This window comes from Homo sapiens, chromosome 4 (genome assembly GCF_000001405.40).
Source record: "Homo sapiens chromosome 4, GRCh38.p14 Primary Assembly".
Lineage (NCBI taxonomy): Eukaryota > Metazoa > Chordata > Mammalia > Primates > Hominidae > Homo > Homo sapiens.
This window is the reverse complement of record NC_000004.12, coordinates 1736764-1751544: the sequence shown is the minus strand read 5'-3', so window position 1 is coordinate 1751544 and position 14781 is coordinate 1736764. Positions and strand designations below refer to the sequence as shown.

The following is a 14781-nucleotide window of genomic DNA, read 5'->3' as shown; positions in this document are numbered from 1 at the left end:
CATCTGGGGTGGGGGTTGTGGGTGAACCCTGGGGGTAAAGAGGCCACCTCCCTGGCCCAGAAGAGCCCCAGGGTTGCTGGGCCCGGGACAGAGAGGGCATGGGGCCGCCTGCGGTCCTAGAGGGGGCACAGAGCCAGGCCCAGCCCGACCACTGGCCTCGAAGCGTGGATGCAGCTCCCATCTGCTCCCCGCGAGCTGGGCCAGTCCCGACGCAGCCCCACACCTGTGGGAGGGTAGGACCCTGCAGGCCAGCCCCGCCCGCCAAGCGCTTCTGCTCCTCTGGCCTTGAGCTTGTCAGGGGCCCCTGCGGACAGCATGACAGAGCTGGGTGAGCCCCCATCGTGGGGTGGGGGCAGGGGACCCTGATGGGAGCAGCAGGACCCCTCTGAGGGGCATCTGGAACCCACCCAAGATGCTTACTCCCTCTCCTCCTCACCCTCCAGCCCCCCACGGCCTTGTCACCAACCGGCATGTTCCATGGGAGTGGGTGTGTGTGTGCCTGCACCTGTGTGTTTACTGGTTCCTTCACGCTGCTGCTCCCCACCCCGCCCCGGCCAGAAGATTCTCACCACAGGCCTGTTGTGACTGTCCTGTCCTTGCCATGCCCAGAGCCTGGAACAGTGCAGGGAACAGAGATGGTGCTCAGTACACATTTGACATGTGAATGAATGAGTGTGTGTGGAGAAGCCTTCGAATCTCAGGGTTCTACCTCTACCTTGACCGATGGAGACACTGGGCTTCACTGTGGGCACAGGGGGGTCGGGGTGAGGGTCTACCCAGGGCCAACTGTATGGCACCTGCCCCACCCCAGCCAGGACTGCCTGGCACCAAGCGGGGCTCCTGCTGTCAGGATGCTCTAGGTGGGGTGTGGCCTCAGCCACCGGGCATGCAGGGGGCAAGGGTGGGTCACCACACGCCCTGGGCAGAAGCCCTGGGCCTTCACACTCCACTCTGCCGCTGGGCCCCTGTGGGACGCTGGCAGCTTGGCCTCCCCAGCACTGCCCTGGACCCACCCCACTAGGCTGGGAAGGAACTCCCTCTGGGAACCCCTTGGGCTCAGAGCAGCCCCGGCTCTGCCCATACAGGTGCGCCCCTGCAGACGCCCCCTTGGGATGGTGTCCACACCGTGGCTCTGCCGGAACAGCCTCCCACATCCCCAGTCTCTAAGTGTGGACGGACATGGGGCCTTTGGACACCAAGTGGCCGGGCCACCACTTATCAGCAGAGGCAGCCCCCAGCCCACACAGGAACCCTTTCTTTGAGGGTCCAGAGGCCCGGGGCCTGAGTGTCTCACTCACAAACAGCCCTCCTCTGCCCACTGTCCCTCAGAAGCAAACATAAGTGCATCCCCCCGCCCCCTCCTCTCTCTGCAGAGTGGGCCCCAGAGCTCCTGTGAGCTCAGCCAGGTGGGGCCGTCCGTGTCAGTGGGGTTTGGGGAGACGGGTGCGAATGGACATCGAGGGACAGAGGAGACACAGGGCAGGGGCCCCGCCCACCCTGATGTCTGCAGGGGCTCTAAGCCCTCACCTCACCCCTGCTGGCCTGGAGGGAGGGGCCTGAGTGGAAGGGAGGCGGGGACTGGGGGCGGGGACCGTGGGGTGGGGGTTCCTGGAGCCTGCACAGTTGTTCCTTCATTCATTTGACACACTTGCAAACTGTGCAGCCTCAGCCTGGTGTTTGGAACCGGGCTGGGGCAGACGCGTTCGAGGGGCTGTTTCTTGGAGTCTGGTCCATGCCTGCAGAATTGCAGAGTTGGAGGACCCAGTGAGTACCACTGGTGGTTCAGGCTGTAGAGCGCCATATCCCCAGCCACCCAGTTACAGGGTGTGTTCCCAGAACCCAGCTGGGCAGGGTTGGGTAGGGAGGGAGGGATTGGGCCTTGCCAGGGCCCCCCTGTCCTGCAGTCCCCCTATCAGGCTAGGCCAGACCCTCAGCTAGCGAGGGTGCCTGGTGTGCTGCCTCCAGCCCTGCATGGCCTGAAACCTCCCAGTCCCCAGCCCTGCCCTCCACAAACCTCCAGGGGTCTGGTGAGTGTGCAGGGTCCAGGGAACAGAGGGGAGGCAAAGTCGCAGTGAGGGGCTGGTGGGGAGGGGGTGGTGAGGAGGGGGCATAGTGGGGAAGGGGGAGGTGGGGGGGGCTATGCTGAGGAGGCAGGTGAGGAGGGGGCAGATGGGGAGGGGGCATGGTGGGGAGGGGGCACAGTGGGGAGGGGGCGTGTTGGGGAGGGGGTGCCTTGGGGAGGGGGGGCAGTGGGGAGGGGGCGTGTTGGGGAGGGGGTGCATTGGGGAGGGGGCGCAGTGGGGAGGGGGGAGGTGGGGAGGGGACAGGTGAGGAGGGGACAGGTGGGGAGGGTTCGTGGTGGGGAGGGGGCAGGGGGAGGGAACAGGTGGGGAGGGGTCGTGGTGGGGGGACAGGTGGGGAGGGGGCGTGATGGGGAGGGGGCACGTTGGGTGGGGAGGGGGCACGGTGGGGAGGGGGCGTGGTGGGGAGGGGGTGCGGTGGGGAGGGAGAGCGGTGGGGAGGGAGAGCAGTGGGGAGGGGGCAGGTGGGGAGGCCCTGTGGGGAGGCCTGGTGCGGGCCCAGGTGGCTCCTCGTCGCCCCAGGGTGGGGGCCCCTCCTGGAGGCCTGTGGCCAGGCGGTAGGAACAGCCTGGCAGGAGTGCGGTCGCGCCGGGTCTGCAGAAGGGGCTCCGGTGGCCCAATGGCGCCCCCTGCAGGCTGTTGGGGTCCAAAGGCTCAGGCAGAAGCCCCAGGAGTTCGGGGTCCCCAGAGCTCGGGGGCAGCCAGGACGTACACGTTCCACCCCTCCAACCCACGGCACAGGTGGCACGCGCACCTGCTACTGGAGCACACCCCAAGGAAGGCCTGGGCTCGGGCAGAAGCCCCTCCTTGGACCTCGTCCAGCCTCAGCCCTGTGGGGACAGGGCTTTTCCCTCACGTGCTCCAGCTTCCTGAGCGGCTGCTGGCCCGGTCCTGCCCCTCACAGAGCTCCCTAAGAGAGACAAGGGATGTGCGCTCAGCCCACCAGGGCAGTCCGGCGCGGCGCCGGGGCTTAGTCCCCAGGCCTCCGGGGGTCCTTCCCAGAAAGTGGAGTGATGGGCTGGAGGAGGGACCTCCGGCAACCACGTGGGCTTGCAGCGACCCTCACTGGCATGGACCTTGGGGACCGAAAGGGGTCTGGGGTTCAGCCTGGGCTGGGGACAGCTCCTGAGTCCATGGGAGGGTGATCTGGGTCTGCCTGCAGGCTGGGTGAACTCTCTCCCGGGGCTCAGGCTGGGTAGGGCAGGGTGGGGGCTGCAGAGGGGTGCCTGGCAGGGAACGCTCGGGCTGTGGTCAGCTTGTCCTGGCCTATCTCCCTCGCCCCCACCCCCTCTTCCATCCAGCCTGGTGGCTGGCGGCCCCTGGAGAGAGCATGGGGGCATGGGAGTGAGCTTGGAGGGGCAGCCCCACCGGCCCTGTTGAAAGGGTCTTGACCAGCCCAGGGAGGCAGCTGCAGGTTCCACTCCTAGGTGGCCTTAGAGGGGTGGGGGTGCCCCACAGACCTAGCTTCTCCATGTGGGCTGAGCCCTGCACTCCCCTCGGGATTTGGATATTGGCTGCAGGGGGAGCTGGGCAGTGGGTGGGCACCAGGCTGGACAGCCCCTCGGACGGCGGGGTCTCATCCTGCCTGGGACCAGATGGCTTGCACCACAGACACGTGTTTCTCTGGGTTCTGGAGGCGCCAAGTCCGCCATCAGGGTGCTGGCGGGTCAGTTCCTCCAAAGTGCTCTCCCGGCCTGCTGCCTTCCCGCAAGGACACTAATCCCAGCAGACCAGGGCCTCACCCTCACGACCTCGTCTAACCCTCACCCCTCCTTCCAATGGGGCACGTCGGGGGGGTGTTTCTGAGCCCTGCCCTGAGCTGTGGGAAGGGCAGAGCCGAGCGCTGCCTCCATGACTGTGTATGAGGACTCCCACGGAGGCAGCCCCCAGGACAGCTCCTGTTTCCTTGAGCCCCCCACAAGGCGACTGCGTGGATGTGCAGGGGGTCCGGGGCTGCGGAAGTCCAGGCCACGGCTGCGTGCCCAGCTCAGGTCATGTTTACCAGGCAGGCCAGTGCCAGGGCCCCCGCCCGGCCTCGCAGCCCTGAGTTAACTCAGGCTCCAGGATAAACACCCATTCAGCCACACAAGGCCCCTTTGTCCTGGGAGAGAGGCTCCCGGCCCAGGACGCTGCCTGGTGGCCGGTGTCCTCGGCGCGGCCCCAGGCCCGGCCAGGTGCCCTGACACGTTCAGCCGCCCTGCACGGCCTTCTCCGGGCAGGCTCCCGGCTTGGCTCAGAGAGGCCCCAGCAGGGGACAGGGCCCTGGGCAGCTGTCAGAGGAGCCAGAAGGCCAGACCGGCAGGGCTGAGTGAGGAGGAGGACCTGGCAGCCGCCTTGTGTCCTGAGACCTTGTCAGAGCAGAGCTGACCCGGCAAAGAGAGGTGGGAGTCCTGCGGCCGGACATGCCTGTGGGCAGCGGGGAGGCCGAGGCGGGCCGTGCTGCCCATAGGGCAGCTGGTGAGCTCTGGAGGCTCGAGGGCCCTTCTTCTCCCCCATATCCTCAACCCCAAGCAGGAGAGGGGGCCCACACCCTGTGCTTGGCCCGTCTCCCCCGGCCAATGGCCACTGGTCTGTGGGCCTCGGTTTCTCGTCTGTGAAGTGGGCCACGGAAGGCTCTCAGAGGCCCCTCAGCCAGGGATTACACCCTATTGTTACCCAGGCTCGGGGCTGAGATGGGGGTTGCTGCCCACGGGAGGGAGGGGCGCGATGGTCCTGGGAAGCCAGTCAGGAGGTGCCGCAGGAGCACAGGTGGGCTGTGGAGGGGGAGGGAGTGGCCCCCAGGCCCCCCTGAGGCTGGCCCAGTCCCTGCCCCAGCCGTGACTGGCCATGGCCCGCTGTGGCCGTCCATCCCTGTGCCAGGCCCCCTCCTCCAAACGTGCTAAGAACAAATGCACCCTCATGCCCTTGGGGACACCCCACTGGCCACCCAGGCTGAAGCCCCTGCCCGCCCCTCAGCCTCCCTGGCGGTCCATGCGGCTTCTTGGCACCCGTGCCCCGCCCCTTCAGGGTGTCACCCACCTGGTCCGGTCCCTGCATGGCCCATGGCGGCAAGCGACCCCTGGCGGCGGCTGGGGGTGTTGTTGCGCCCACCCGAGGTCAGTACTGCAGTGCTGCTCACCAGGCCAAGGGGCAGACTCGCAGAGCCTTGGAAGCAGGTCCTGGGACTGCAACCCCCAGGCTCAGACACTACTGGGGCCAGGTGACTGCGGCCAGATCTCGGCCTGGGTCCCTCCCTATGTGGGGAGCCCCACTCTTCACTGATGGGAGAAAACGGCTTTTCTGGACGGCGTGATCTGGGCACAGCAGCAGCACCGACCCCTGGAAACAGGTTACAGCGTCAACCCTTGGTCTTGCCTGGCCCCTCAGGAGGCCCTGGCCCTCTGGCTGGTGCTGGGGTCCTAGGTGCCATGGCTGAACCCAGTGACCAGCATCTCTCAGCTCGGTACCCAGGTTCCCGGGATGCCCCAGCTGGGCCAAGCCTCTGCCTGACCAGAAGGGCTCCTGGAACTGCCTTGGGTTCCAGTGTGCCTGTCTGAGTTTGAGATCCGCAGGACGGGACTGCTGGAGATGGGGTTAGGGTCGGGGAGGAAGCCCTGCCGTGTGGAGACAGAACTTCCTCAGGGAAGCCTGTTTTGCTCTGAAGTCTCCACGCCCCCAAGGACGAGGACGACAGGAGCTGAGCAGCTGCACCTGCAGGGGGCCTCCCTCCACACCCACACCCAGGTGAGCGCTCAATTAGCTGGGGCTGCAGGCTCGCCAGGTCGGCACCAGAATCAGAGCCACCGGCATGCATGCCTGGCTGTTCACAGTTTTTGTTTTATATGAAAACTTCCCCGTCTCTACTAAAAATACAAAAAATTAGCCGGGCGTGGTGGCGGGCGCCTGTAGTTCCAGCTACTCGGGAGGCTGAAGCAGGAGAATGGCGTGAACCTGGGAGGCGGAGCTTACAGTGAGCCGAGTTCACGCCACTGCACTCCAGCGTGGGTGAGAGACTGTCTCAAAAAAAACAAAAAACAAAAAAACAAACAAAAAAACGAGTCCATTTGGACTTTGATGTGTGTACCTGAGGCCAGGACCATGTAGCCAACCCGAGGTGGCCGGGGCAGACTGGGCAGGCCTGAGCCTCCTCTATCCACTGGCTGTCCCTGCCCCTCGGCAGGGTGGCCTGAGCCTGGGGTAGGCAGGGACCAAGTGGCCAGCTCTGAGGGGAAGGGAGGGCACCTGCGGGTCGGCTCAGCCTCAGGCTAGAGCTGGGAAACCTTTGCTTCATCAAGACCAGAGCGGCTTCAGTGTTTAAATTGAAAGGAAACTTTTATTGAGTCATGTTTTCAAAGCAATCTAGTTTTTAAAAAAGTTGAAGACAAGACAGAAAAAAGAACATGACACCTAAGAGAATCAGACAGGACAGACAGACGGGAGCAGGGGGGCGGGGACAGCGGCTCCGTGGAGGTCAGATCTTCTCCATCTTGGAGATGAGGTCGTCGCAGATCCTGGTCAGCTCCTCGTTCTCTTTAGTCTGGAGGAGGAAGATGAGTTGCGGGGCTTCTCCCTGCTTGGAGGGAGCAGCAGGCCCAAGGGCCTTCTAGAAGGTGCTGCCAGACGGCCCCTTGAGCTGGGCTTCCCGCACCCACCTTCTGCTCCACTGTCTTCTCCAGCGACTGGATGCGCATCTGCTCCTTCCTCAGGCTGGCCTGGAGGGCCAACGCTTCCGCCTGGGCCTTGCTCCGGACCTGGGCGATCTCCTCGTTTGCCCTGGAGGGGTAGGGGCGGGGCAGAGGCTGAGCTGGGGCCCAGGTGCTCAGATTCTCCCTCCAGGGTGGGGCCTCGCCCAGCACTCACAGCTGCAGCTTCTCCTCCGCGTGGGCCTTCAGGGCTTGGTACCTCTGGCCCTCCTGGGTGATCCTTGCCAGGTAATCCTCCACGCACTTCTTCAGTGACTCTTCGTTCTAGGAAGGGGCAGGCATTAGCTGTGGGTACCACGCCGTCTGCTGGAGAGCACCCAGGCTTGGTGTCTGGGGACCTGCAGATCCTCGAGGCTGTCTGGGGCATCAGCCGTGAGCCAGTAGCTCCCGTTTTCCTTTTGGAAAAAGCCCCTTCACACAAGTTCCCAGCTCACCCCCTCTGGAGGTTCAGGACAGCCCTGGCTCTCCACCCTGAGATGCCGGGCCTGAACCTGGTGCCCTCACGGCTGGGCCCCCTCCTGCCACACCTGCAGCCTCTGCTGGCACCAAGTGCTGCTGGAAAGTGGGATGCACCTGGGACCACTGACAGCCCAGCCCGTCTCCCTCTGGAGCTGAGCCCTGTGCTTTGGGGACAGGCAGGGGAGGCCAGCAGGAGCCACATGGTTACCCAGACACGCCTGCTCCTCACAGGCTGCTGCCCCCTCTGGGGGCACCTTCCGCTCAGTGACTGAGAAGCCCTAACTGAGGGGTTCCTGGGTCCCCGAGTGGCCTCTGCTTGGGAAGGCTCAGCCTACCTGCCTTCTTCCTGCAGTGCCCCCAGCGGCCTCACAGCCCAGCCATCCTCACTCCTCTGTCGCAGCCCTGTATCCCAGAAGCACCCTCAGCACTGCAGCCTCTCCCTGAGCCCCTACCCAGCATGCAGCCCCTGATGTCCTGCGGAGGTCACGCCTCCCTTAAACCCACAGCACTGTGTTTCTCTGCTGTGGAAAATTCCCAACAGCGTCTGTCCGGGAGGCGGCATCCGGAAGCTCTCACGTGTGCACAGGTCAAGCCTCCCGCCACAGCGGCGTCTCTCCCTCTGGCTCTGGGGGCTGCCGTCCACACACTGGTTCCCAACTCAGCCTCTGCTTCCCTCATCTGACCTGTACCCTTTGAATTGTTAATGTTGTTAACTGTGTACCTGTTAGAAATTTCCATTTGGTTCTTTTCTAGTTTCTGTTTTTTTTTTTTAGACGGAGACTCACTCTGTCACTCAGGCTGGAGTGAAGTGGCATGATCTCGGCTCACTGCAACCTCCGCCTCCCGGATTCAAGCGATTCTCCTGCCTCAGCCTCACAAGTAGCTGGGACTACAGGTGCGTGCCACCATGCCCGGCTAATTTTTGTATCTTTAGAAGAGACAGGGTTTCACCATGTTGGTCAGGCTGGTCTCAAACTCCTGATCTCGTGATCCACCCGCCTCGGCCTCCCAAAGTGCTGGGATTACAGGCGTGAGCCACTGTGCCCAGGCTTTTTTTTTTTTTTTTTTGAGACGGAGTCTCGCTCTATCGCCAGGCCATAGTGTGATGGCGCGATCTTGGCTCATTGCAACCTCCACCTCCTGATTGATTCTCCTGCCTCAGCCTCCCAAGTAGCTGGGACTACAGGTGCCTGCCACCATGCCCAGCTAATTTTTGTATTTTTAGTACAGAAAGGGTTTCACCATGTTGGCCAGAATGGTCTTGAACTCCTGACCTCATGATCCTCCCGCCTTGGCCTCCCAAAGTGCTGGGATTACAGGCATAAGCCGGCCTAGTTTTTCTGTATTTTTTGTTTTCTGAGAGAGTCTCGCTCTGTCGCCCAGGCTGGAGTGCAATGGTGCCATATCGGCTCACTGCAACCTCTGTCTCCCAGGTTCAAATGATTTTCTGTCTCAGTTTCCTGAGTAGCTGGGACTATAGGTGCACACCACCATGCCTAACTAATTTTTGTATTTTTTTTTTTTGAGATGGAGTCTCACTCTGTCGCCCAGGCTGGAGTGCAGTGGCACGATCTTGGCTCACTGCAACCTCTACTTCCTGGGTTCAAGTGATTCTCCTACCTCAGCCTCCTGAGTAGCTGGGACTACAGGCAAATGCCACCCTGCCCAGCTAATTTTTGTATTTTTAGGAGACGGAGTTTCATCATGTAACCCAGGCTGGTCTCGAACTCCTGACCTCAAGTGATCCACCCGTCTCGGTCTCCCGAAGGGGATTCTTTTCTAGTTTCAAGGTCTCTATTGAAGCAATACTCTTCTGAATACAGAAGACAATTACTTTAAAGTCTGCACTGGGTCGTCCAAGATGGGATTAGATGTGCAAAGGAGCCTCCATGAGGAAGTAGGGAGGTGGCCAGTGGGAGCTGAGGCACAGGCCTGCCCCGGGGAGAGGCGAGGCCAAGGCAGCTGCTCACACCACAGCCCAACCTGAGGGAAGGTCAGCAAAGCCGCTGTGTCCTCAAGCCAGCAGCACCGTGTGAAGAGTCCTGCCTCTCCAAGCGTCTGTGCTGGGCCAGACTGCTGTACTCTGCTGCCGGTGGGCACTCTGCTGCCACAGGGCCCTTCCCATCTGCTCCCTGCAGACCTGAGGCACCACCTGCCGGTGCCAACTCCAGCGTCTGGGGCTCCTGTGGGTCTATCAACAGTTTTTGTTTTTGTTTTTTAATTTTAGAGATGGGGGTCTTGGTCTATTGCCCAGGCTGGGGGTGCAGTGATACAATCATGGCTCACTGCAGCTTCGACCTCCCGGGCTCAAATGATCCTCCCACCTCAGCCTCCCTAGTAGCTGGGACCACAGGTGTACATCACCATGCCTCACTCTAATAACGGGTCTGATTTTCACTCATGTTTCCTGTTCCTTTCACACTTGGTTATTCTGTGCCAGACACTAATTTAAAACTGCAGCAGCAATTTAAAGCATAAGATACCTTCTTCCCTAGAGTATTCAGGCTTGCTTCTGTTAGGCAGCTGGGCCCCAGCCACTGACACCCACCTGACTTCAGGACTCAGATGAGGTGTGGCTCAGCAGGCCCTGCAAGGGCCGCTTTTCCAGTTTAGTCTGACTCCCAGGGGACCCATCTGGTGTCCCCAACCCCCTTGCACCAACAGTGACAGCCCCTCTTCCAGCTGCACCTGCAGGTCCAGCTCCTCCACAGGAGGCGTTGAGCACCTCCGCTCCAACATTGCTGCTGTGGGCAGAACCCTCTGGCGGCCTCGCAGGCACCTTCCAGGCCTGCTCTGGGCAGATGGATGGCCCAGACATCCCTCCTTCCAGCAAGCATGTGGGCCTTGCCCAGCACAGAAGGTGGGGGGCGCTCAGAGTCCCGTGGCCAGGAGGACACCAGGGTGGCCTTGCACAGCCGTGACCACCTTTCAGTGGGCCTCCCGCCTTGGATACTGCATGCCCTGGGTCCCCAACCCTTGGGACCCAAGCGCTCGGACAGCCCAGACACCTTTCCGAGGTGCCCCAGGCCCCGGTGCACCAGCGCTGTCTCAAATCTCACAGATGCCTGATCATAGCCGAGTCGTCTGTCACACAACAGCGGACGGCTCAGATGGCCTCCCTGCTCACTCTGCCTCCTGCCGCCCTCAGCTGCCTCGCAAACCAGCTATGCTGTGACTCCTGCACCCTGTCTCGTTCACAGGTCATCCCATGCCCCCGTGGCAAGGGGAGGCTTGGCCAAGGACCAAGGTGCAAAGACAGCAGCTTGTAGCCCCGCTGGCTTGGACCATGAGTCCATCAGCCTCCGAGGTGAGGACACCAGGGTGGCGGAGACATACCTTGCGGTAGCCCTCGATCACCTCTTTCTGTTTCTCAAAACGCTTGAAGAGGTCGGAGAAGGACTTCTCCATGGAGTTCAGATCTGTGGTAAGTTGGTCTTTTTCTTTTAGAACTTTCTGGATTTCAGCTTTGGAAAGTTCCTTCTGCTTCTGAACTTCCTCTTGAGAAAAGAAAAGCAAACGTTCAGGATGAGGAGGCAACCGAAACGATGGGTGCCAGAGACAGCCCAAGGAATGAGGCAAGGGACTCGAGCGCCAGGAGGAGAGGTGGGCAGTGGGTGTGAGCCTCGGAGGGTGATGGGTCCCTCCACCCAGGATCTTCTAGGCCGGATGCAAAGCCCAGGAAACAGCTGTTTCCTCCACATCAGATCCGCAGGGAACTGGAGCCTGGGCCAGAGGTCCCTGAAGAGGCGGCGCCCAACACCCTAGAGCCTAGGGTGAGGCCTGGGAGCCGGTATGGCGAGCTCCAGGATGTGCGTCGTGCTTCGTGGTGGTCCTGGAGGGACTGCAAGGGCCAGGCGGTCACCTGCCGCCGGCTGACACTCAGCCTAAGACAGATCCCCACAGTAGCACCTCCAGGAGCCCAAGCTTTTGGGAGGCCAGATGAGGCCTGGTGTTCCCGTCCTGCCAGACACCTACAGAGGCTGCTGCTAGACATAGCCGCACGGCGAGGGCAGGGTGGAGTGGGGTAGGCCACGGCGGGACAGACTCTGCTCCCACCACAGCCCCACTGCTAGCTCAGCATCTGCACAACTGTGGGGCCTGCCAAGCCCTGGCTCCGTGGGAGCCACCAGCCTCACTACCACCAGCTTCCCCGCAACTCGCCTCAGTGCTTCCACGGCCGGGCCCATGTTGAAGGGACTCGTGTGTTAGGAAAAGGGGCCTCAGGAGGGTGGGGTCCTAGGCAGGGTGCAGGGCAGGGCCAGGGTGGGGCATAGGCAGCCCCTCGTGGAGGCACGTGGCCTCGGTGGCCCGGGCACTCACCCATGGCCTGGTACACAACCTCTTCGAACCTGTCCATGATCTTCCTGTGGGAGGAGAACAGACACACAGCCATTGCCTCGGGTGCCCAGCGGTCCCAGGCCAGGTGGGGATGGGGACGGGGACAGGGATGGCGAGGGGGATGGGGACAAGGATGGCGAGGGGGATGGGGACAAGGATGGCGAGGGGGATGGGGACGGGGAGGACAGGAGACGGGGCCTCCTTACCCCAGTTCCAGGTTCTTCCCGTGGAGCTCCTCACACCTGCTCCTCAGCTCCCGGTTCTCCTCCTGTGTCGCCTTTACCTGCTCAGGCCACACCCAAGTCAGCAGGCAGGCGGGCCAGACTGACCCTCCCAGGACCTCCCCACAGGATGGGGCCAGCCCGCACCCGAGGTCCCTGGAGCAATGTCCCAGAGGCACAGTTCCATGTGGGGCTTCCAGTGGGACCCTGGGAACCCTGTCGAGGCCAAGGCCACCTGCTCCACGTGCACCCGACTGCCAGGGGGCAGGAGGCATGAGGCTGCTGGCTGTGCTCCTGGGTGGAACCAGCAGGCACCCAACAGGTGTGTGTCCCTGCAGCTGCCCCCGCAGCCCAGTGGCAGATACTAGGGGTCCTAAGTGTTAAATATAGTGAACTCCAAGTTTGTCTTCAAAGAATCAGTAAGTCAGTATGTTCAGATCTCTTTTTTTTTTTTTGAGACAAGAGTCTCACTCTGTCGCCCAGGCTGGAGTGCAGTCACGTGATCTCTGCTTGCTGCAAGCTCCGCCTCCCGGGTTCAAGCCATTGTCTTGCTTCGGCCTCCCGAGTAGGTGGGACTACAGGTGCCCACCACCACGCCCGGCTAATTTTTGTATTTTTTAGTAGAGACAGGGTTTCACCGTGTTAGCCAGGATGGTCTCCATCTCTTGACCTCGTGATCCGCCCACCTCGGCCTCCCAAAGTACTGGGATTACAGGCGTGACCCACTGCACCCGGCCAGATCTCTTCTTTGATTCTCCATTTAAAATTCCTGGTTCTCTTCGCCCCTTGCTTCTAGTTTCAGTAAACAATTTTCCCGCCAGTCCTAATCAGTAGTTCACATCTGTTCCCTGGTCACCTGCTCCATCCTGACTCATCCCGGTCACCTGCTCTGACCTAAGTCACCTTGAGTTACCTGTTCCTAACCGTCCTTCCCGTCAAACTACTCACCCCACCACTCTGACTCTTACCCTGCCCTCTTTAAAATAGCCAATTGGAATTGGCTTAGACTGTGTGGTCCAACCTTAGCCAACAGGGGAACAACACAGCAGTAGGGCTACCTGTGTCAGGAATAAGAACCCCTTCCCCTCCCTTGTTCAGGTGTGCTCTTGCCATTGCTCCATCTGCGAGGGGCACCCTTTCTGCAGAAAGTAAAAACTGCCTTGCTGAGAAAATTAATGTTCGAGCACTATTTCTTTGTGGCACCAGAGAACAAGCATTGTGCATTTCTAACATAAGTTACATGCAGGGGCCACCTGCCCCCGGAGCCCAGGCCTGCAGAGGAGGGGGCCAGCCACACTGTGGTCCCCAGGCCTGCTATTGGGTTACTCACACGGGCTCTGACACAGGGAAGGAGGTTGTTGGGGTACGGGGTCAGGGCCACATCACAGGCCTCTGCGGAGATGACACCTGGGGCCACTGTGAACAACACTGGTGTGGATGTTGGGGCTTGAACCCAGCCCTGCCAGCCGGCCTCCGGAACCACCCTGTCTGCACCTCCCTGGGGACCATCTGGCGACGGTAGCTCACAGTGGTGCCTGCAGACACCCAGCCCCTTTGTGTGCCTACAGCTCTCTTAGGGACAATTTAGGCCCGGAGTTAGAACAGGCTGAAGCCTGGCATGTACAGTGAGGATGGAGGGAGACAAGGCACGGGACCCTCAGATGTGGGGTGGGTGAAGATGGAGCTTCCTAAGCTGCCAGGAGATGCGTCTGGACTCGTGGGAGGGCGGGAGGAAAGGGGCGACACTCGGGCTCACGGCAGCAAGAACCACACTCACTGCTGCAAGGCCACCAGAGGCCAACGCCATGCCCAGGCCGGAGAGTCCCGGGGAGGCTGCTGGTGGGCAGCTGACTGCGGGGACACTGGGTGGAAGCCTGGACCCTCAGCGACCTGGGCAGTAGTGACAGGCCAGGGGCCGGCAGCTCTCTGCAATTCCACCCCAACCAGCAGGGGCAGGGATGGCAGGGATGGCGGGTCAGGCTGTTGGACCCCTGCCCACTGTTGGCCAAGCCCCAGAGCGGCCTGCAGGTTCTGTGGAATAGCTACTACCTGCGTCCTTACCACTGCATCCAGGTCCTTCTGGCTGTACTGGAGCAGGTCCACTATAGGTCCGGTGGACAGGGGTGGGCCCCCAGGCGCGGGAACACCTGGGGGTGGGCCTGGCACCTGCGGGAGATGGGGATGAAACAGGAACCCATTTCGCCCTTGCCTCTTACCTCTGACCTAGTGTGAGGGAGGAAAGGCCCACACAGGCCAAGAGCCTCAGACAGTGCATGAGGGACCCGAGACAGTGCGGCGAGGGAACAGCACAGCGGCCCCATGCCCCCAACAAAACCAAAGGCTCAGACCCCCAGGAATAGAAAATATAGGCCCTTAAAACAACTCGTTCCCTCAGACCACACACAAGACAGTTCAAGAGGGACTCAAGGACTTACAGGAATGTCCAGTGCTCCCAAGAAATCGAACTCCACAAGCTTGGCTTCCCGCGGACGTCCTGAGGGAGTCTCATTTGCACCGTGCATGCTGCCACCAAGCAGAGGCAGCCTCAGTCACTAGGCCCTCCCAGTGTTGAGTAGGACACAGAGGACCATGTGGACAAGCTAACCGGGCTCTTTGCTTTTTAGTTTAAAACCACTCAAGTCAGGGTAGTGGTAGAAAACGCAGACCCGCATCCAGCATGCCCGGCCTCTCTGCTGCTCCGTGCCCCCCTCCCTCACCTGCCCATCCCACGTGGCTGCTTGTCCTTCCGGGAGAGCACGGTGACGCTTCATTACCCACTGCAGGCTGAGCGGAGCCAGTGCTGCCTCATCAGGGGGCTGTTCACAGCTCAGAGCCTTTTTTTTTTTCTTTTTCCGAGACAGGGTCTCACTCTGTCACCCAGATTGGAGTGCAGTGGCATGATCTCGGCTCCCTGCAACCCCTGCCTCCCAGGCTCACCCGATTCTCCTGCTTCAGCAACCCAAGTAGCTGGGATTACAGGCGCCTGCCGCCTCACCCGGC

General features: G+C 61.5%; 1 protein-coding gene and 1 long non-coding RNA gene across 25 annotated transcripts in view, besides 1 other annotated feature; one reads left to right on the top strand and one right to left on the bottom strand.

Annotated features, from left to right (window-relative positions):
- Positions 2524-2723: a silencer, noted in NCBI's record as "silent region_15142". NCBI's record gives its function as "represses an Ori minimal core promoter by ATAC-STARR-seq in GM12878 lymphoblastoid cells {active_cell/tissue: GM12878}" and the evidence as "EXISTENCE:reporter gene assay evidence [ECO:0000049][PMID:35858748]".
- TACC3 (transforming acidic coiled-coil containing protein 3) overlaps positions 6374-14781 on the bottom strand; it is a 24541-nt gene continuing 16133 nt past the window's right edge. For 11 of the 24 annotated variants that reach the window (NM_001441319.1, XM_017007653.2, NM_001441316.1 and 8 more), the window contains 8 exons: positions 14217-14304; positions 13843-13947; positions 11767-11843; positions 11543-11586; positions 10559-10719; positions 6921-7027; positions 6713-6833; positions 6374-6597 (listed from right to left, as the gene is read on the bottom strand). In NM_001441319.1, the coding sequence (NP_001428248.1) occupies positions 6532-6597; positions 6713-6833; positions 6921-7027; positions 10559-10719; positions 11543-11586; positions 11767-11843; positions 13843-13947; positions 14217-14304 (769 nt within the window). In that variant the 3' untranslated portion in view covers positions 6374-6531. Of the gene's footprint in view, positions 6631-6712; positions 6834-6920; positions 7028-8007; positions 8151-10558; positions 10720-10821; positions 11064-11542; positions 11587-11766; positions 11847-12228; positions 13198-13830; positions 13948-14216; positions 14305-14781 lie in introns of those variants that run through there. The other 13 variants (NM_001441305.1, NM_001441306.1, NM_001441318.1 and 10 more) reach the window with 11 other exon arrangements.
- On the top strand, positions 10719-12953 carry LOC112268460 (uncharacterized). The gene is made up of 2 exons (XR_002959774.2): positions 10719-10825; positions 10927-12953. It is a non-coding gene; the product is annotated as an uncharacterized LOC112268460 (long non-coding RNA).